The sequence below is a fragment of the Homo sapiens genome, chromosome 6, assembly GCF_000001405.40.
Source record: "Homo sapiens chromosome 6, GRCh38.p14 Primary Assembly".
NCBI classification, from domain to species: Eukaryota; Metazoa; Chordata; class Mammalia; order Primates; family Hominidae; genus Homo; species Homo sapiens.
Genome location: NC_000006.12, coordinates 22053203 through 22077016, shown reverse-complemented (window position 1 = coordinate 22077016; position 23814 = coordinate 22053203). Strand labels below are relative to the sequence as shown.

The window sequence follows — 23814 nt, the reverse complement described above, 5'->3', positions numbered from 1 at the left end:
AGTGGCTCACACCTGTAATCCTAGCACTTTTGGGAGACTGAGGCAGGTGGATCACATCAGCCCAGGAGCCTGGGCAACATGGCAAAACCCCACCTCTACAAAAAAAAACCCCAAAATTATCTGGGAGTAGTGGTGCATGCCTGTAGTCCCATCTACTTGCTTCCCTGAGGTAGGAGGATAGCTTGGGCCCGGGAGACGGAGGTTGCAGTGAGCTGAGATCATGCCGCTGCACTTGGGCCTAGGCAATACAGCGAGACTCTGCCTCAAAAAAAAACCCAAAAGTGTACATTTTAAATATGATAAAAATATAAATATTATAGCATAACAGGCCAACTATAAATACTCAGCCACAATGGAGTCTTTGTCCTGCTACTACTCTATCTACAGCCTCATTTCTTTTTTTTTTTTTTTTTTTTTTTTGAGATGGAGTCTCGCTTTTTTGCCCAGGCTGGAGTGCAGTGGCGCGATCTCGGCTCACTCTGCAGCCTCATTTCTAACCCTGGAAACACTATTCAGATAGCTTTATTCTAAATATCAAGTAATACACATTTACATTTTCAGGACTAGTTCACACAAGAAATAAAACTTTTCATTGATGAGAAACTGACCGATATAATTCTCAGTGGTACAATATTTCTTCATGAATTTTCTTGAGCCAAAATATACTGACAGCCACATTTCAAAATTGAAGAAGAATTTTAGGATGAAAACAGATATAGTAAGTAGGGCCAATTATTGTTCCCTTTGAATGAAGTTGTTAAACTTTGTATATTTTTGTAGAGAGCTTTCAAAACAGAAGTAGTGCTGTGACCAGTCAACTCAATTAAGGCCTGCTCTGACGCCAGGTTAAGAATCCAAAGAATACATGGTTCTCCCGTTCCACATCCAGATAGCCTTTAAACAAGTCATAGAAATTAGCACTCAGGAAAAAAAGTTTAATAGTATAAACAACTGCACTCTGCTTTCCAATTCAAGTCCTAACCCAACAAAAGCCACATTTAGATTTCTTACCATCTAAGAACAGGTGGCCTTAATTAATTTATTAATTAAATAATAAAACCAATACCACCTTGCCTCTAGACAATATATAATGATGTATATATAATATACATCGAACTACACTCCAGGAAACAATCCCATGTGGTCATAGAACTGAGCAGAAAATGTATAGAAAATATTCAGACACAAGTTGGACTTGTTATATTTATATACCTGTAGTATTGGACAATCAGACTGAAGAAGTTGGAGAAGGAGAAGAGGGAAAGGAAGAAGAGCAGAAGGAGAAAACAAACAATATCTTTTGCACATAAGTATATTATGATTTTTATATCAATAGCAATGAATGATAAAAAGCAACATAATCATAATTAAATAATCCAAACTAAAATGATGAAATTCTACTTTTTACAAATAAGCTACTCAGTGGTTTTATTTTTTCTTATTGTGAGTTAAATTTTGGTAAATTTGGTCTTGTGCTTGATGGTGAATGGCACTCTAAAAGGAATATAGACATATATCTCCACAGCAAATAGTCTTCATCCAACAATTTGACTCTCTATATCTCTTCATAAATAAAAAATCCAAAATATGGAAAAAAGATATTGTAAAAAAAGTCTGTCTCAACTAACAACAACAACAACATATATTCTTTGGCGTAAGACTCCATATTGCATAATTTGACATGTTTTATTCTTATTTTCTGATGTTGTCTTTTTTTTACAACTAGACCGTAAACTCCTTGAGGGCCACAACTGCATGTTTTTCATCTCTCTGTGTCTTGCTGCTGGTCGGTACTCATTATTTGTAATGTATAAGTCAAATCAGATAGCCAATCAGCAACTGAGATAGTTTTCCTAAGTGGTCAAATTATGACACTGCAGGGTAATTCTAGCTGTCTCTTCAAATACCCATAGGAATTTTGAATTTACAATGTAGATCTTTATAACAGATCAATTCCTGGCAATGTGCTAGTGTTTTATACCAGTGTTTTAATGTACTTCAGCACACATGTCAAAAAAATAAGGGAATCAAGAATGAGCTCTTAGAAATAAAAATTATTTTCAGTTCTGGGATACATGAGCAGGATGTGCAGGTTTCTTACACTGGTAAATGTGTGCCATGGTGGTTTACTGCACCTATCAACCCATCACCTAGGTATTAAGCCCAGCATGCACTAGCTATTTTTCCTGATGTTCTAACTCCCCCCATCCCCACCCTGACAGACCCCAGCGTGTGTTGTTCGCCTCCCTGTGTCCATGTGTTTTCATTGTTCAGCTCTCACTTACAATTGAGAACATACGGTGTTTCATTTTCTGTTCTTGCATTAGTTTGCTGAGGATAATGGCTTCCAGCTCTATCCATGTCCCTGCAAAGGACATGATCTCATTCCTTTTTACGGCTGCATAGTATTCCACGGTGTATGTGTCCACATTTTCTTTATCCAGTCTATCATTGATGGGCATTTGGGTTGATTCCATGTCTTTGCTATTGTGAACAGTGGTGCAATGAACATACACATGTATGTATTTTCATAATAGAATGATTTCTATTCCTTTGTATATATACCCACTAGTGAGTTTCCCAGCTCAAATGGTAAGAAATCAAAATTTCGATTGCTGAAAAATATTAGTGAAAGGATTAGAAGATAGAGTCAAAATCTTCCAGATCATAAGGACAAAGACAGGAAGATGAAAAATATGAAGGACAGAGAAGAGACGCAGAGGCTCAAATCAGAGGACGCAACATCTGACTGATAGGAGTCCCATTAAGAAAGACCAGAGAAAACCTTGGGAAAACATATCAAAACAATGCGAGAAAATGTCTCAGGGCCAAAGGGAGGCGTAGTTTCCAGATTTCTCTAAGTACCAATCAGGATTAATAAGACCCAAACATCATTATGAAATCTGAGAACACCGAGATTAAAAGCAATCCTAAAAGTTTAATGACAGAAAACAACATTGACTCTAGACAGAGAATTCCTTTTTTTAAGGCTTGTATTTCTTCTCCCAGCAAGAAAAAACAAAGATCAAAAACTTGAGAGTTAACAAATTGTGCAAGAAGGTCAAGTTTGAAGCAAACTAACTGTTGTATGGTTTCAATCAGCGATAAAATTAAATAAAGAATCTTCATTTGGCCTCTTGCATTTGACCCCTTTCATAGAGAGATACAGGGGTCAAGAAATTGGAAAAGTATGTAATCAGAGCATCCCAACTGGCCCTTTGTTGAAAAGTATTTGCATATATAGCATAAACACTGCTTACTGGCTTTCAATTTTTAGTATCAAGCTGAACAGGAACCATGAGAGATTTCATAATGGTTACAGAACAGCATTGCTAACAACCTTAGAAATAGGAAGTAAATATACAGTTTATATATGTTGGAAAGTAGAATGGTGCAGAGAGCTAAAGAAAAGAATACAGTGCCTGTATCTTCAGCTCATGAAGTAGATTTTTAAATATACCACGTAAAATTACCCAAGAAAACCAGAAGGAGAGCTTTTTAAAAAGTAGTATCATTAAAAATTTCTGTTGAGGAAAATTATAAGACACAGAGACATTCCTCTTGATTGAGACTGTTGTTGAGATTGCTTTACATTTGATGCAAAGTCCGTATATTAGTAATGAACAATTAAAGATCAAGAAAAAGCACATGTGCATATTAGTCTAGTTTACAGAAGGCATTTCTAGAAACTCACATGAAGCACCACTTAGGGACACATTGTGCAAGAAACAGAAAATGTGTCATTTAATTTATAGGCCAGATAAGATCATGTTCATTCTGACATTGTACCCCACAAGTGACTTTGGAGGCTTATGAAGGCATATTTTGGCATGAGTTCATCTTTAGAGTGCCTCTGTGCTTAACATGTACTTTCTCATTTCAAATGGAGAGGAAACTGGCTGATGTAATGACCCTGCCAGAGAGGCCTCCTCAAAATGCTGGCTTTGTTGGGATGGGAACAAGTCCCAAACACTTGGTACTTGTCTGGTCAACTGAAAGAGCTGGTAACACCATTTCTTTTGAAATTCCTTTGTTCTTCAATATAAAATGTTCTTCCTCTGCTTCCATCAGCCTACACTTTTGCAGGACTTTTCTTCCAAATATTCAGGCCACGTTATTCATATATTTTGATTGTCCTTGCATGAAGAAATGATTTTGCAACTACATGAAAAGTGGAAAGGCCAGCACCATTGATCTCATTTTTTAAATGGACAAAAAGGTACAAAGTTAGTGACATTATCACCATAAAGTAGCACCAGAATTCCTGTTTTCCGACTTCCTAAAGAGCTTCTTTTTGAGCAACAGCAAAGTTATCTCATGGCACTTTAAAGATGTTGCTGTAGAAGTTCAAAAATTCAAGCCAGAATAGTGATCATACAACCCACAGCAAATAGTCATGGTGGGTTTCCAGTCCTTAGCTAGTTTAATTCAACATGTTTGAAAAATAAAATGAAAAACTTGAGCTCCAAATGTAAATGTAAATGTAAATATTTATATATGGAGATATATATCTCCAAACACATATGCTTTCCCTAAGTTTACCTCAAAAGAAAACTAGTTATTTTTAAAATTAACATTAAAAATGAAGGCCCTTTGCATTGACTCTGAACACAGAAAGTTAGGAGAGAGAAGGGGAGAAAAAGAAGGGGTAGGGAGAGGGAATGTCTTTTCACTTACTTCAGCAGGATTTGGGTAAGCATCATATAACACAACTGTGTTTCTGAAACATTTTTCATATACTTCCTAAGTATTTCATGAACTCATATGAACACAGGGGGGAAAGTAAACTTACACAGGGCAGGAAAAAGAGAAAAGTTTTTTGGTGGAATTTGAATTAATGAAAGTACAAATAATGAAAAATAACTCTGCAGTCAGATTTCAGGATTTACTGGATGTTTTCCCTTCTAAAGAGTCTGAGGGTTACAAAAACTTCTTTCCAGGGAAAACAACGAAACTCATATGAATCCTGGGTTTTTCCTTTGAGGGAAAGTTTATTGTAAACAGAATTGTAAGGGAGGGAGAAAAGTGCCTATAGCGAGCTCTGGCATTAATGAAAACTTGCAGCCACCTTCAGAGCTGGTCCTGTCTGTCAGAGAGTCAAGAGTGCCCTGGAGGAGAAGTGCCTCCCATCACATGAGCCACGTTTGCCAAATAGAAAGCAAAGCCTGGGAACTCGTCCCCCAGAGCAGTCGGCTTTGGTTCCATTTCCTACCAGAGCAAGCAGACGGGAAGCATTTCAGCCTGACAAAGAGGCATGCAGAAGCCAAGGCTAAAAGTAGACTGCATTTCAGAGGTTCTAACACTGAAAGAACGGAAACCATATGGGAATTACTTTATTATTCAGCTGAAGCCTTCAGGTGGCTTTAAATTAAAAGGAATATTGTCAACCACATCCCTGGGCTTTTTTTTTTTTTGGTCCCCTTCTCCAACCCTCCCCCTCTTTTCTTTTTAAACTTTACAAGCACTGATTTAGCAGTGGAAATTCCCCAAATATAAATTAAGCATTATATCCACCCAAGAAATTCTTCCTGGCACTCAACCAGTAGAACAACATTAAAATCTCTCATATAATTCTTGGGAGAATAAACTAGAGGGTGTGTGTGTGCGTGTGTGTGTGTGTGTGTGTGTGCATGTGCGTGTGTGTACATACTTTGAGTTTTTTCCTTCTTTAGAATTATGTTTCATTATATAAAGATATTCACTGACAATTAGACATACAGTGTCAGAAGGGATGTAATCTCCCTACAGATATTTAACAACGATACTGAAATGTAGGTCACACCTCTAAAAACTGATGCCCAATTTTTGTGCATCAATAACTACCACATGTACAGATTTTCCACCACTGCTGCCACCATCACAACTGTGAACATCCCCTCCACAGCCCAACATTGAGGCCTTAATTCCTATAACTCTAAAGAGATAAGAATGCTGACTGCATTACTTAGGACAGGCTGGATAATGCTGCAGGAACACACCACCTCTACCTAAATCCCCATGACTTGTAGTAACTGAAGCTTAATTCTTGCTTACATGACATGTTCAACCTCGGTCGGGAGGTCTTTCCATCATAGCCCCTCATCACATGACCAGACTGTGTAGGCTCTCTCGTGGCCTGTGCTTCAACCAATGTAAGGGGAAGGGGATGAAGCAAATCACATGGCAACTCTTAAAGCTTCATCTGGGAAGTGACACATGTGACTTCTGCCACATTTCATGGCAAGCCACTTTCATAGTCATGCCTAGACTTAAAGGAGGCAAGAAAGTACAACTGTGCTGAGTGTGCCCAAGGAAGGCCATCAGAATATCTGTGAGCCTTCCTAATTGCCATAGGAGTCTCACAAAGGCTTGAAAGAAACACACACACACACACACACACACACACAGACCTGTACCAGAGCACATAAAGACTATCATTTGATTCCTAAGGTACACAGATCCCATCTTCTTCTTACTTACATTCCTAGCACCCAGTGCAGGGAACTCAATGTCTCCTTGACGAAAGAAATAACAGAGCAATGGGGCCAATTGTCTCTGATAGGTCTCACTTCTTAGCACCCCAGGGTTAATATGGCAGGTTAAGCTGGAAATTTCTTTCTGCTTTTAAAAACAACGATAACAACAGGCTGGGTGTGGTGGCTCAGGCCTATAATCCCAGCACTCTGGGAGGCCAAGGCCGGCGGATCACTTGAGGCCAGGAGTTTGAGACCAGCCTGGCAAAACCTTGTCTCTACTAAAAATACAAAAATTAGCTGGGCATGGTGTCACACACCTGTAGTCCCAGCTACTTGGGAGGCAGAGGCAGGAGAATCGCTTGAACCCAGGAGGCAGAGGTTGCGGTGAGCTGAGATCGTGCCACTGCACTCCAGCCTGGGTGACAGAGCAAGACTCTGTCTCAAAACAAAAACAAAAAGAAAGAAAAAAAAAAAACAGAAAAAATGAATGCGTGACATCATCTATGTTCTTTAAGTACATCTCTGGTTCTCTATAGGACAGTGAAGGAGTGTTTAGTCTCTAGTAAGCTTTCTGAGACAAAAATTCATAAAGATACATGGAAGAGTTTCCTTGCTAGACATTTAAAAGAAACCAAAAGAATATTTTACCACTCACCTACCCCTTAACACAAATGCAAATTTTTTTTCCCATTAAGCGCTCAGGGACAGAGTATTCCATTTTAACACGAATAAGTCTCTCTTATACATAAGAAACAGCAAAAGAATATCGTATAAATCTTGCTTTCCCAAGAAATAGTCCAAAAAAAAAAATGTGTTATCTGAGAGAGAAACTAGAAGGTCAAATGGGAAAAGAGACACAGAAGAAGAACCTTATTTTCTCCAGCTCAGAAATACTTCCCTACCATTCCTTCTCTGGTACATTAACCTTGCCCTACTCCCTGAACTTTTAATGGGGAAGAGTGAAGGAAATTTATTGGTGGGAGACTTAGGAGGCTTTTAGTAATGTTAGAATACTGCTTACTGTTTACTAGATACATGGAGAGACTTAAATAAAAAATTCATGCCAACAGTATCTGTACAAGCGACCAGCTGTTCTTATTTATTCCAACAGACATGGTTACATAGGACTCCAGGCTCTATTATCCAGGCTCAGACAGCCACTCTGGCAACAACTGCACAGGGTTTGAAGCATTTCAGGTCCCAGAACAAGCCCTTCATTTCACAGAGAAGTGCTGAAGATCGTTTATTCCAGTAAGAACTCAAAATTCTACCCAAAAGCTATCACCAGAGGAAGAAAAAAAAAAACCTCACCAATTTTTCAGGCTCAGCTCCTAAATTAAACTTTCTTTCTCCCTCTCATGCCCAAGACCAACCAGAACCCACCAGCTCTGTCATCAATGACTGACTCCATCACATGAAACAGGACCAGAGGCTGATAATCCCAGTTTAGTAGAGTCTCTCCATGGTAAACTTTGAGAGAATTCGTATCCTTCCATCCTAGAGTGACTTTGTATACAGGCATCTCGTTTGAAAGGTGTGTGAGCACTCTTTTTTGTTATTTTTACTTTCTGATCAATATCAGCAAATGGCTGAGAACTGTATAATTATGAGAAAGCAGCTCTAAAGAATACTAGCTTTCATGTATTGAAAGGGACTAGTGTAAAGGCAGCAACTACAGTAGCAACTGACATTCATGAGTGTTTTCTAAAGCACTGGGTTTTATACCACAAGCTTCATCATCTCACTTAAACCTTAAAATAACCCTATGACATGTGCTTAGTAATTTCATTCCAAAGAGTGCAGTATGGGAAAAAGTCGGGGGAAGGCAAATTTGCAGTGAAGAGACTTGGCACCATGACCTCAGCCAGGTTATCAAGATCAACATCTATAGTGATACGTCATGGTGATCATAGGTACTCTTGATATGATGGTGGAGAATGGTGCTTCACCTCTGTGGTCTTCCTCTGAAAAAACCCATAACCAAGTCCAATCATGAGATGAATTTCAGTTGAAGGACATTCTACAAAATATCTGACCAGCACGCCTCAAAACTGTTAAGCTCATTAAAACAAGGAAAGGCTGAAAAACCCTCATAGTTCAGAGGAATCTAAAGAGACATGACTACTAAATGCAATGTCGTATCCAGTATGACCCTGGAACAGAAAAGGATATTAGGGAAGAACCAGTGAAATATAAAGATAAAAAAAAAAAAACCCAAACTGTGGAGTCATTTAATAGGCAAGTCCCAATGTTGAATTTTTTTTGACAAGCATACATAATAAGGTAACAAGAAAAGGAACCAGGCAAGGGATGTAAGACTACACTCTTCCTTTTTTTGCTACATTTCTGTAAATCTAAAACTACTTAAAAATTAAAAGTTTTTTTTTTAAACTCTGAGGATGATTCTCTTATCTCCATTCTAGAGATGAAAAGCTATAGGTTCAATAACTAACTTCTCAACATTATAATACAGAGCAAAAGAACCCTTCAGATATGCCTACTTCACATTTAAGCCACCAATGGAATAGAGCTGTGGGATAGGCCCTTGCATAAGATTTATAAAAACTACTTAATGCCAGATACATGCTGAGAAAATTAAACTGAAAGAATTTATTTCACTTACATTCCTCGTAATGAGATACTTTTATTTTAGCATATACTCTTAAGCAAAGGGGCCATAACATACTTTCTAAATATTTCATCCTTATTTCCCATCACAAATTTCAATTACTCAGTCAATGCTATGTGATGATCACATTTAAACAAAATTAGCTTAGGATTTTGCCAAAATGTTGACACTTTAACATTCCCTGAGAGAAGGCGGCATCAGCCAATGGACCTTTCACCCTATAATGTCCTATCTTTTAGCTACTCTTATTTGTGACACCCACATTTTCTCTTCTGATACACTAACTGGATATTTTGGTGCTGGTGAACTCAGCCTGCTGCCATAACACAGGATCAGTGAGTTACAAGTTAGGGTGCCCCTCAAAAGAGAATGACTACATCAGTATAAAGAAAGCCTAGCTTATACTTTGAGTTTCTTCAGATCCTGAGACATAGAAGATCAGCTGTGGCTGCTCTAAAACTCTGAAGACAACTAAATGCCCTCTGAAATATAAATTCTAACAGTGTTATCTACCAAACCAGTGTTTCCCACAGTGTGAAGCCAGCCTCTCTGGGAAAACTCCAATATCCTCCCAGGAAGGCTCAAGCAGTCCAAGACATATTCTTTTTTTCCTTGGGACTTGCCAAAATCAGACAGTAGGATTCAACAAATATTTCTAAATACTGTACTTAATATATTGTTCCCTGTGAGAATATAAAGTGGAAGCGATCCAGCAAGTAAGAAAACAGGCTGCCTTCTGTGTGTGATTAGATTAGCCTGCCTAAAGACATGTTTTTCTCAATCTTGTTCTATTTACAAGTCTTTTTTTGTTTGTTTTTTAAAGGGCAAGTGATTTCTTGAATTATTGATTTTACTACTCAGGGCTTGTCTCAGGAAGAGCTAAATCTCTTTTTCCTCCCTTTATACTTCAAACTATCCCAAGGCAATTCGTTAAAGGCATCATGTCTGTTTTAACGAGAGGAAAGGATGGAGAGAAGAAGGGGGAAGTGAAAATGACAATTTTCCCACAAAATCATAGCAAAAGAGCAATAGAATAACCAATGGGCTAACTCTCCCGATTCAATGGACAATGGAAATAGAGCCAAATCCAAAGTTTAACTTCTTCCCTTCACCAATCAATAGGAAAGAAAGAACCAAGTTCAAGAATCCATAATCATCCCCGCAGACAGGCAGACAGAAGACAAAGACAAACACACAAACACACACAAGGAAAGCAACTGTGGCACATTGGCACTGACCCAAAACAAACCCTTCCTCTCAAGAACCTTTCTGTTTTTATAACTTATGAAAAACTTTTTCAGAGTTTTAAAACTCAAAAAAAATCTTCATTTTGGAGCCCTTGATGGTTCAGGCTGGAATTTTTTTTTTCTAATCTCACACCAGTATGAGAAGTCATGTTAAGAGGTCATTTGAAGGATTAAACTTCTAAGATCATTTTCATGAGAAAGAGACTGAACATCAGAAGACTGTCCTTTGGGTAGATTCTTAAGGGCTCAGAGAAGAATTTGAACTCCTCAATGAGCATCTCCACATCAGCCTGAATCCTAACCCTCTTTCAGTCAGACATCCCAAATCTAAACCTCCTATTTAAGGCCTCAGAGTCTCAACATTCCAAGTGAGTGGACACTAGAGTCATCACACTCAATCTCCCCATCCCTGCAAACCCTGTTCTAACTCCCCAAAGGACACCTGCAGAACATTAAACCAAGATTGAGTATCAAAGCCAAAACCTCACAAAATATGGAAAAGTCAGATTTTTCAAAGCACTTGCAAATAAGCTTTTTAATGTCCTTTAAAGTTTTCATTAATTATAACAAGTCTTCTCAATTTTTGCTTTTGACTTTCCAGACAATTCATGGTGTCAACTATCTACAGTACAGAAAAAGTTTCACACATTTAATATGTGAAACAGCATAAAGCAGATAAAACGCATATGTAAAAATACGAAGCAAAACGTCAGTCTGACATCATAATTTTTTTTTTTTTTGAGATGGAGTTTCACTCTTGTTACCCAGGCTAGAGTGCAACGGCACAATATTGGCTCACTGAAACCTCTGCCTCCCGGGTTCAAGCAGTTCTCCTGCCTCCGCCTCCCAAGTAGCTAGGATTACAGGCGCCCACCACCATACCCACCTAATTTTTATATTTTTAGTAGAGACAGCGTTTCACCATGTTGGTCAGGCTGGTCTCGAACTCCTAACCTCAGGTGATCCACCTGCCTCGGCCTCCCACAGTGCTGAGATTACAGGCATGAGCCACCATGCTGGGCCGTGACATCATAATTTTACATGCCCATATTACTTTCATATTCATATTATTGACTCTCTACTGGTAAAGCTACATTGATGCAGAATATCAAACAGAACAGATTCAGCAATTTTTCCTGTGAAAAGTACATAGCAATGTGACCAGAGTCTTGTCCAGTACCTGGCACATAGAGGCACACAAATATTTGTTGAACTAATTAATCAATCACTAGTCTTTAACACTTTCTGCTAAGACATCATCTAGGAAAAAAAAGAAGAAAAGAAAAGAAAGAAACCTCTTTCCCTTCCTCGTCTTCACAAATATCTCTAGGTAACTTACAAGTATACTCCCAATATGCTATTTCCATGTTTGCCATTTTCTGTATTTAATGTGCAGGTAATACACTTGAATATTAGAAAATTATAACAACAGGCAAAATAAAGCCATTTAATTATTCTCTAATCACACAGCTGTAACAACTTTTAGATTTATATAAATCTCACAAACTGCTTATAATATATCTGCACATACTGAATGCATGAAACACTGATTTGTTAGTTTTTTAAAAAAACAGGGTCTTAGAGAAATCTACACCACTGCTTAATGCCTCACTTGGTATTTTATTGCATATTTCTACTATAATTTATTTGACCACTGTAATATTATTTAGACATTTCTAGCAAAATGTATCAAAAATAAATAAGTTTGCGATCAAGCATTCTTATAGCTAAATTTTTTACACATTTGATCACAGTCTGAGAAAAAATTTGCCTAGAAGCTGAACTGCTGAAACTGTAAGAATATTTTGTGGCTTTTGATTTTACATATCGTGAAATCACCTTTAGAGAGTATACAAAAAATTTCCCCCAAAATGGCAGGTTTTTTTCCTTACCCATAGTAATACTGGTTTTTATCATTATTCTCCAACTGAGTCAGTTTAGTAGTTTAAAAATATGTCTTGTTTTACTTTACATTGCTTAAAGAAAGGGTGATTGTTTCACATATGTAAATGCAAATAATATGTATAACATTTTGAAGTGTCAGCTCAAAGTAGATACTCATAACCAATAGCAGGTATTAGCAGCCTTGAGAGACTGGCCACTTTTTACAAAGCACAATATATATTGAAGTCTTAGTATTAACTGCCTCTGTATTTTTAAAATTAAGATTGCTCAAAACTTTTGTGAAAATTTTCTAAAGCTCAATACATATCAAGATGGTTCGACTTAGGATGAGATATGCATTTTTTTACTAGCCCCTTCACCTTGTCAGCAGATATTTTTAAATGTCTAGATATTGACATTCTCTCTTTATCTCATGGCCCACTTGAGTTTTGCTTTAAATTGGTGCCTGTGTTGATGCATGCACACACATATTTACATATACATATATGTGTGTACACAAACGTCTACTCTACATATGCAAACTCCACCTCCTGGGTTCAAGCGATTCTCCTGCCTTAGCCTCCCGAGTAGCTGGGATTACAGGCGTGTGCCACCACACCCAGCTAATTTTTGTATTTTTAGTAGGGACAGAGTTTCCCCACATTGGCCAGGCTGGTCTCAAACTCCTGACCTCAGGTGATCCGCCTGCCTCAGCCTCCTAAAGTGCTGGGATTACAGGCGTGAGCCACCACGCCCAGCCTTGTGTGGTTTTTTAAAACCACTCCATACATACACATTTGATAGATATTGATAGATATGTATACACACATATGCATACATACAGAGATTCAAGACCTTACATTTTCCCCCTTAGGCTTAGCAAATCAATTAATACTAATGTTTTCTTGTTTACTATTTTATTTCATTTATTTATTTATTTCTGAGACAGGGTCTCGCTCTGTTGCCCAGGCTGGAGTGCAGTGGCGCAACCATGGCTCACTGCAGTTTCGACCTCCCAGGCTTAAGGGATCCTTCCACCTCTGCCTCCAAGTAGCTGGGAGAACAAGGGGACACCACCACACAAGGCAAATTAAAAAATAAAAAATTCTTTTAGAGATGGTGTCTTTTAGAGATGTTGCCCAGGCTGATCTTGAACTCCTGGGCTCAAACAATCTTCCTGCTTCGGCCTCTCAAAGAGCTGGTATTATAGACCTGAGCCACCACACCCGGCCTCTTGTTTACTGTTTTAAAGGAGTAATCCCAGGGGTGTTCTCACTGCAAAACACCACTGAAAGAAAATAAAACACTATTTCTCCTGGATTCTTCTCCTCACCATTAAACAAGTGAGTAAACAGCAAAGAAGCCTACTTCAGAACTACCTGACCTGCTCACCCCACTGAGCTGCCAAGAGCTGCACCCACTGTGTCCCACAAGCATGACAGGCTCGGCTCTGCAGGGAATGGGCACAGCCCCACACAGTCATCGCAACCGACATCTGTGGGCAAGACGCCGAGGTACACCTCAATCACGTGTGCCTGTCACAGAACGCTCGCTCACGCACCTGCTTCAACCGTGTGAGCTCAGCCTGTGGGTTTTCCTTGATTGATGTTGGTGTAACTGCTTCACGCTCTCCGTGGGTGAAGGGAAGTGGGCTCTGCTCAGAGCAGTTTGTGGTGCTTCACACTTCCACTTGACATTACACAAGGAATAGCAAGTTACAGAGGGAGGCACACGCCTGCAGGCTCTCCACACCCTCACTGACGGATGGAGAAGGCATCGAACCTTAAAATAAAACAACAATGAAATAGGGGCTTTGAAAACCAGGAAACAAGCAGGCGAAGGAAGCATCTGTCTCTTTCACTCTGAGCCAACCCCAGATGAGTCACACGCGTGTGCGCGCACACACACACACACCATGCCCACCAGAGGACCACTGATTTCACCACCTCTAGGCCTTCGTAGAGGCTTTTAATGTTTCTTGACTAAGCAAATTTGTTCTTTGCCCAAACTACCACAATATTCATGAAATCATTCAGACCTAGAAAAAAAGAGAAAAAATGACTATTTGAGCAAATTTCACAACTTTCAACAAGGTTCAATCTACCCTAAGAAAAGGTTTCAATAAATTGTGCCCATGTGTATAACTTTTCAACTTTTTAACATTCATTTCTTATTTTCAAAGTAAATATTCAAGTCAGCTAAGTTACAACACCTGATTTTGGATCTTTGGAACCCCACAACTGCCATGCAAGTTCCCAGGCGAATGATCTGAAAAAACTCCACGGTCTTCAATTGCTCCCACACTTGGCTCTCCTTTTTGTTGCCTCTACTCCTCTGCTATGAGATTCGAGGCAATAACTACAATTTTAGAAAAAGTAAGAAAGCCTGATTATAAGAAAAATCAAAGAAAATATCTGCATATGTTAGAAAAGCATATGCAAAAGGAAAAAAATCCAGTTGGATGCCAAAACTTGTGTGGTTTTTAAAATTTTTATTTATTTATTCATTTTTGAGACAGAGCCTCACTCTGTTGCCCAGGCTGGAGGGCAGTGGCACCATCTCAGCTCACTGCAAAGTCCACCTCCTGGGTTCAAGCGATTCTCCCGCCTTAACCTCCCGAGTAGCTGGGATCACAGGTGTGTGCCACCACACCCAGCTAATTTTTGTATTTTTAGTAGGGACAGGGTTTCCCCACATTGGCCAGGCTGGTCTCAAACTCCTGACCTCAGGTGATCTGCCTGCCTCAGCCTCCTAAAGTGCTGGGATTACAGGCGTGAGCCACCGCGCCCAGCCTTGTGTGGTTTTTTAAAACCACTCCATACATCCCATTGGTGGACCCAGAGAAGTTCTAGCAAAAACCTAATTGTTGCTTTCATTTGAACTATGTGAAACTGTCTTTTTTTAACCCTTGAAATACTGACAATTTCAAGGGATTCACCTAAATATTTTCTCAGACTTACACATGCCACAATACTTTTGGTGATTAGGACAAAAGGTTTACAAAGGACAGAGAATCTTCATTCTCTGCATCTTCTCCTTTTCATCCACATTCTTTCCTCTTTTATTATTCACCTCCTTCACTCAAGTGGGCAGGAGCAGATGGAGGAAGGAATGGGAAGGGACCCTGAGCAATCACCTAGAACTGGACCTGGATTTCAGCCCAATTTTAGGTTCCAGAGGTAGTCCTATTCCTCCACTCATAAAAATGTCAAACAAACAAACAAACAAACAAACAAAAACCTAGGGCTCTGAAAACAGTATTTTATCTTCTCACATCTTCCCTTCCAGAGTCTTCTACTCTCATGTTGAGGTTCACTCACTCGGGGTGGGCTTAAGATCACATTTGAAACGTAACTGGTTACCTACAAACCTGGTTGGATTTTTGGACTCCGTAACTGAACTAATCACAAGTCACTTTTTACCTTTAACATCTATTTTCTCCCACTGGTCCCTGAGCTGCCTTAACATTTTCTAGCCACCTTGCCTTCTTCTAGAAAGCATTTTATTGAAAGACACAAGTTTCCCAGTAACTGTCAGAAGTAGAAGAAGAAACTACTACACTGGTATCCTTCACCATTTTGAGACAAGAGTATGCATTTAAGAGAAATATCCACATCTAAAGGAAACCCATCTATGCAGGAAGTATAAAAATAGGGGGAAGAACCTGTATTTCTGAACCATGACTATAATAACGGGGTAGTCCCTGCCCCCAGCTGGTGTGGCATCCAAAGATGTACTGAAACTTTCTGATAGATGTCAAAGGTCACACATTAGAGAAAGAAATGATGCCAACTGAATGCAATAATGTAGGGAAAAAATCCTTAAAAGTTTTAAAGAATCTGTGTGCACAAAATGCTGACAAACCTTCAACGCAGCATTGTAAGCCTAACAAAAGCTACATTCCATGCCCACCTCTAAGGAAATATATTAATTTCTACAGGGCTTTCATTTCTTTACCTTTCCTTCCATGAGGATTCAGCACATGTTCCACGTACAGGATTACTGTCAGCCTGATTTTGAATGTGATTGGGATGGGGTGCGGGGCAGAAACTTCAGAAGTATAGATGCAAAAATACAAAGCCTTGACCCGGTCAAAAGGAAACGAAGAGTCCACCTAATATGAACTAAACTATAAGATTTTTCTCTCTTCAAATTGTGCTACCTTTAAGAAATCAGTTTCTATTGGATTTTTTTCCGTAGAAAAACTATATATTTTATATTGTAGAACAAAGCCCAAAATATGGGAAGACAAGGCACAAGTTTCCTCCTTTGTTCTGAGTAACACAAGTGTTTATTAAATTTTGTAACATGGTCAATGGGACACTAAAGGGTTGGTATCAACTCACCTATGATACACAGCAACTGAAAACTACAATAACAGCAAATGTGTACAGCAATCCTCCTGTGTATGTACATAGTTGTTTTAGAAACTTTAAATACGCTGTTTTACTTAATATTCCTTCCAGCAACCATTAGAGGTGCAGAGTATATTCCCACTCTACTCAGGAGGAAACTAAGGCTCAGAAAGTTTAATAATTTCCCCAATTGAGAAAGCTGCCTATGAAGCTGAGATTCAAACCCATTATTTCCCAATCCCAAGGCTTGTCTCTTTTCTTTCCTGAACTTTTCTTGCAAAGGCCAATCTCTGCAGTAACAGTGGGAGTAGAGGGTGAAAACTCTAGTTAATTGGAAAGTCCCTGCCCTGCCCACCCAGGAGAGGTATGGAGTACTTGTTATTCAGCCACAGCTGATATTGACCGTGGGAGACCAGTGAAGTCAGATTCTGGCTTCTTTGGAAAAATTGACCAAATGTTTATATAAACATTTTTAAAATATTGGCAGCAAGTCATTTAAACACACATGCACCCATGCATGTGCATACACACACACAACTCCTCATAAGGGCAAACACAACATTTTTGAAGGAGTGATTAAGCTCTCTGGTCCCCCAGTTTATGATATCTGTCCTACCTCGCCTATTTTTCATTTATTATATCCACCAGGAAGCCACATTATAGTCCAAAAGTTCCAATGGAGCCATTATTAAATTTATATTAGGGTTCGATGCACATTGCAGATCAAAATTCTCCTCAAACCTACACATAGTTTCAGTTAGTTGCCTGAAGAGAGCCACAAGCTTTCACAACAAAAGCATCCATCTTATCCCATGTTCAGTACCTGCAAATGAACAATAAAACACCACCACGGCCACTAAGCAGGTCTAGTCTGTGGCAATGACAGCAGCTCTTGGGTTCAATTAGCCCATGCTTTGCCAGATCCACAAACTAGTAAACATTTCAAAAAAGGTAGATCACAAGAGCAAAAAGCACCTGCAGGAACCACTATCCCCATAACCTTTCTCGTCCCTCTTTCCCCTTCAAGTTTGATGATTTGGCAGTTCTGGAACTCTTCCGAGAGAAGTCAAGACTCACTCTGCCAGCCCCAGCTGTTCAAAGCTCAGCCCAATCTGTTCCATATAGTTGGCTGTATTCTAACAATAATGTGGCTACAGTTCACCTTCATTTGCTGCAAAGATCATTAACTATCCCTCAGAGAGATACAGTATTAAAGAAAGAGAGTGCTCGAGGCATAATAAATGGAAGTTCCTGGGTAACACAGTTCAAAAGAGGTAGGATGATGCCAGCAAGGCCACCTGACAGTTTCTATAGCCAGAGAAAAGGGAAGAAAACAGGGGCAGGAAGGAGGCAAAATCAGAAAGAGAAATAAGAAAAGCCAGAATGTGCCTGGCAAGTGTGTATGTTCATGTGAGCAGAAAATAGAGGAAAAACAGAACATCTGAAATAAAGACACCAGGACATTTAATGTTAAGTCACAGCAGTGACATGATCCTACTTGTCTGGCAGCTCAAACATTCTATGACAGAGGTAGAAGTAAATTTGGAAGGAGAGTGAGAGCAGAGAGAATGAATTACAATCCTATACAGGAAGAATGCAGGATTCCAGACCTTTTTTAGTACCGTAAAAGATACTGCATTCAATGAAACCTGTATTTAAATCATGTATCTGACCTCCCATTCATAAAACTGCTGAATTACAGTGTAGAGTAGGCGTGTTTCTTCATTCAACTCATACATTCAGTTATTAAAGTCTTGCATTAGCCTTATTTGAGTCTTTTTCTCCAACCACTCCCTCTTTTTCCCCCAATAAGCCAGCCCTGTGAAAACACCCAGTGATCAAAATGGCCACTTCATAGAAAGTTCTGCGTGTTTAATATAAAACCTGGAGTTCCTCAGTTGATAATGACAGCATCAAAGTCAATACTTGTTGTGAGTTGCAATTGTTGTATTAATCCAAACTAAATTCCAGTCAACAATGGAGAGAGAACTGGTGGCTAAATGGGAGTTCTAGTGGCAGACCTCATTGTCTTACGATTTACTTTCTTTGGAAATTCACAGGGTAATATGACAAAATTAACAAACAACAAAAACAAAGCTCCATACGTGACATCTTTACCATTTTCTTTACCTTCTTTTCCTTTGTTGAATCAATCCCCAAAACAATGGTTTTCAACTGGGGGCAAATTGGTCCCCCACAGAACATTTCTGGTTGCCACAGCTGGGGAGAGGAATCATGCTACTGGAATCTACTGGGTAGAGGCCAGGGGTGCTACTATATATTCTGCAATGCACTGGACAGCTCCCCACAACACTGAATGATACAGCCCCAAATACCAGGGAACAGAGGTTGAGAAGCCCTGCCAAGAGTCATTTCAGGTATCAAACTTCCTTTTTTGATATATGATATGGATTTTAGGAGTGGTAGAACGGGAGCTGTTTTGTTTTGTTTTGTTTTGTTTTGAGCACAGCTCACTGCAGCCTCAACCTCCCTGGGCTCAAGCAATTCTCTCACCTCAGCCTCCTGAGTAGCTGAGACTACAGGTACATGCCACCATGCCTGGCTAATTTCTGTATTTTTTGTAGAGACAGGGTTTTACCATGGTGGTCAGCCTGGTCTCAAACTCCTGGGCTCAAGCCATCCTCCTGCCTCAGTGCTGGGATTACAGGCATGAGCCACCATGCCTGGCTGGAAGCATTTTTAAGTAAAATTCTGTTATTAAAATACCTTCTCTCCACATGGTAATAACACTTAACATAAATGGAAAGGAAGGCAGGGGGCAGAAATTTAAAATGAACTTAGAATCACAGTGGAACCCTGGTAAATCCTAATATAGCACCAAACTTTGCACAAGCCTTCAACCAGTGATTTAATTATTAAAATCCTTCCCCCTGCCAAAAAAAAAAAAAAAAAAATTCACCATAGTCCAATTCAATTTACCTAGGAGGATGCTTCAGAATATATCCACACAAGACCGTAATGTGAAATTTGTATTTATAAAGAAGAAACACAGCCTTGGCCTCCTCTTATGAAGACAGGCACAGAGGCACACCCACTCATACCAAAACCAGAGGACTCTATGTTCAATTAAATTGGCTCTATTTGGCCCGGCACGGTGGCTCACGCCTGTAATCCCAGCACTTTGGGGGGCCGAGGCGGGCAGATCACGAGGTCAGGAGATCGAGACCACGGTGAAACCCCATCTCTACTAAAAATACAAAAAAATTAGCCAGGCGTGGTGGCGGGCGCCTGTAGTCCCAGCTACTCGGGAGGCTGAGGCAGGAGAATGGCATGAACCCAGGAGGCGGAGCTTGCAGTGAGCCGAGATTGCGCCACCGCATTCCAGCCTGGGCGACAGAGGGAGGCTCCGTCTCAAAAAATAAAAATAAAAATAAATAAATTAATTAATTGGCTCTACGTAAAAGGTCTCTAGGTAACACTTAAATTGGCATGAAACAAAATAATTCACCTGAGGAAGGGAAAGGGGAAGAGTTAGAAATTAACCCTTTCCTGAAAGAAGACAGACAATTCCCCCAGCCACACCTGGAAACTCAAGAGCAGCCTTTGATGTAGTCATCTGTCTTCAGCCCAAAAGCTCTAGGGAGACGACCTAACATTTACGTGGCTTGGTAAAAAATAATTTGCTCTGAGGTAATTTAGTGTAAGCTCAGGTCATGGCCCGAACTTGCCAAATAAACAGAACCGCCCGGGACTCTTTCCAGTGGCGCTAGCCTCCAGACTGATGAGCTTGCTCACCTGGCTGGCTCTCTTCTTCCCATTGATCCTCACTCATTTCCTCTGGGTTTTCCATGCGTGTGGCGTGCTTCGGGCAGGGCTACATGCTTGGGCTTTTTGGCTTTGCTGGATTCCTCTTGGCAGTCACACTTGGACTCCACAGCTCCTGGGAAGGAAGAGAGAAAAAAGGAGGTGCAGTCTTGAACGGGGATAGAGCTGTGACCTCCCAGCCTATAAAGAACATGTTTTGCCTTGCCGGGATGGGGAAACAGCTTTTGAAGTCTAGCCCAGGCCTCCCTGGTGCAGATCATCTACCAGCTATTGTTCCAGCACAGATTTCCACTCTACATAATGGAGACACAATGAAAAAGGGATTCATTCACTGACTCTTTATGGAATGCTCACTATACTCAAGGTACTGGGAGCAGGAGAGAACATACTGGGGAAAGGCAGGCATGTGTCCTCAGAGTAGAAGAAAATATCCAAAAAGAAATTTTTATGTGAACAGACTTTGTTTGGGCTAAATGCTTCCTGATATGTGAACAGAATATAAAATATGAATTTGGTAACTTAATTGATGAAACTGTCCATATGTAATTTAAAAGAAAAACAGGGATCTAGTTTTGGTAAAATCATAGCCACTCTCCAGATCCAACCCCAAAGCTGTTTTTGTAAACCACTTTTGGCAGAATTTCTCACCTCGGTGATAGAGATAACACCAGGTTATTAATCTGTGGTTTCAAAGAAGAGAAAAATTAGTGGCAGGAGGACTGGATGATTTTTTATTAAAACCAGGTCAATTAAGGGAATCTTTGCTAGCCAATATACTTATACCCACTGGAATGTGTTAAAAAGCCAAAATCCTGTCCAGTTCAATCCCAGAAGAAAAACATGCAGAGAACAGCAATATTCAGCAATGAGTACTGAAAGTATTTTCAAGTCTGGGCAGCATTCTAGAAATTACTAAATTAACCAATGATGTTGTGTTGAACAGAACTCTCATCCTGAATATAATTATATTAAAACTTCTGACGATTTCTTCCCTCAACGTGCTATCCTCTGGTTGTAGGAGGTTAGGGTTAAGAAGAAAGGACATAGGGATGGGACAAGGAGGAAGGGAAGAAAATACTCACAAAAACCATATTCATAATTCAGCAGTTTTGTACAATGACAGATCATTCATGTACTATTTTTTACTCATGAAACTAAATTCATTCATTACCTAACATTTATTAGGCTTATTGAATAAATTATAGAAATGTAAATCACAAAATGAATTATATAACAAAATGTAGGTTCTTATTACATGCCAAGATTAATGTATTTTCTCCTTATGTAAATTTTCCTGGAATAAATACAAAGTTGAACATAATACTTTCAAATCATCTTCCAGTTTCCCTGAATTAGAAAACACTATGAACAATGTATTCAGTTGTGTGTGTGTGTGTGTGTGTGTGTGTGTGTGTGTGTGTATTTTTGGCATCATGCTCATATAATGTTTTGGCACCATGTTCTTTTATCTTACAAAATCATGTTTCATCTATCATTTACTAAAGAAAGTTAACAATTGGAATTAAGTTGCCTAACTATAGTAACAAGTGTCAAGGAAGTTTTATTTACTTAAAAACATATTTTTCTGAATAAATATGGTGAGCACTACATTTCTGTGGGTTGCCTTGGAGAATGTAAATAAACGCTACCAGTTGATACCTGTCAATTACAGTCCTTATGTAGTTTGTGGCACTTGTAATTTATAATAGGAAAATCATTCATTTTCCTAATGATCATGGACAAGTCCGCTGAATTTTTTATAATGTAATTGAAGAGACAGTAAGTCAAAACATCTTCATTCTTCTCTTAGCCATCTGCAAGATTTCTTATAGGCACAAAACATCATGTCAGGCCATTTTTACGAGTTTCCCAGGACTTATAAATTATTTAGACATGAGTGTTTTACTGTCCTAATATAAAACTCTAAATGAGCAAATTTAAACAAACAGAGGAAGTCACCACATGGATGTACCATGCTCATGGATGATGGCCCACAAAAAAAGTTGGGAGAAGCAGTGATTTGGACACATAGGTAGTGATCAAAGAGATACAGTCTAGTAGAATGGCAGAAAAATTGAATTTCCTTAAAAAAGTAATATGAAAATGACATAGAACCAAAATGGTAGAAAACTTTCCATTCCACTGGGTCATAGTAGGCAGCTCAGTTTTTTTCCCACTCTCTCAGTATGGTTAAAGCCTGGATACGGATGGGACAAGTTAGACTACCTATTGGCTACTATGCTCACTACCTGGGTGATGGGATCTGTACTTCAAACCTCAGCATCACACAATATTCCCATGCAACAAATCTGCACATGTACCCCCATATTTCAAATAAAAGTTTTTGAAGCTAGGCACAGTGGCTCACGCCTGTAATCCCAGCACTTTGGGAGGAGGCCAAGGCAGGTGGATCATCTGAGGTCTGGAGTTGGAGACCAGCCTAGCCAACATGATGAAACCCCATCTCTACTAAAAATATAAAAATCAGCCGCGCATGGTAGTGCATGCCTGTAATCCCAGCTACTTGGGAGGCTGAAGCAGGAGAATCACTTGAACCCGGGAGGCAGAGGTTGCAGTGAGCCGAGATCACACCAATGCACTCCAGCCTGGGCAACAGAGCAAGACTCTGTCTCAAAAAAAAAAAAAAAAAAGAAAAAAGAAAAAAAAATCAAATAAAAGTTGAAAAAATAAAGAACTACAGCCTGATGTGGAAAATGCCTATATCTAACCCAAATCTATCAAGCTAATCAGGAAAAGGAAGAAGACAAAGCAGCAGCAGCAGCAGCCGCCACCACCACCACCACCACTGCTGTCATCCTCTAATTTTACACAATAATAAATGAAGACTGGCGGGGGGAAACCCTCAGAGTTGGTGGCATTTCCTTCTCAGGTAAGCCAAGCTAGTTACAGGGATCAGTGTTCCTAGCTGTGAGATAATGATAGTTACTCTGTCCTTTTCATATTCTAGGCATTTGAGCACCTTGTCTCTTGGGCCCTCCCTGCCCACTTGGCCTACCCAACCTTATTATTCATCCTTTAAAAGACTTAGCTCAAATTTCTGTTCATAACCACAGGAGGAATTACTCCCTCCCTCCTCTGTGGCCTTACAGAACTTCTCATTCTGCTAGTGTAGCACTTCTCAAACTGCCGTGGCTAACTGGGTACACAACAGTTTCTACCACCAGAATCCAAATGCTTGGAGGACAGATTCAGCATCCTATCTACCTTTTATCCTCAGGGTCTAGCAGAGGGTCTGGTATATAGTAGGCATTCAATAAATATCTGTTGAATAAGCATGTGAGTGAACGAAGAAGCATTTAAATTACCCCAAATACTAGAAGAAAAAGACCAGAATGAAAATAATCTAGTTTGTATATCTCAGCCCTCCAATCATTACACTTAAAAGAACTCTAAAGACAAGATATTTTTAAATATAAAAAATATATCTTCCCAAATAG

General features: G+C 39.5%; 1 long non-coding RNA gene across 1 annotated transcript in view; it reads right to left on the bottom strand.

The window, feature by feature from the left end:
• The window catches only part of CASC15 (cancer susceptibility 15), a 529408-nt gene that overhangs the window by 118804 nt on the left and 386790 nt on the right, over positions 1 to 23814 (bottom strand). Inside the window, exon 8 of the long non-coding RNA NR_015410.2 lies at positions 20327 to 20471. This is a non-coding gene — a long non-coding RNA (cancer susceptibility 15). The remainder of the gene's footprint in view (positions 1 to 20326; positions 20472 to 23814) is intronic.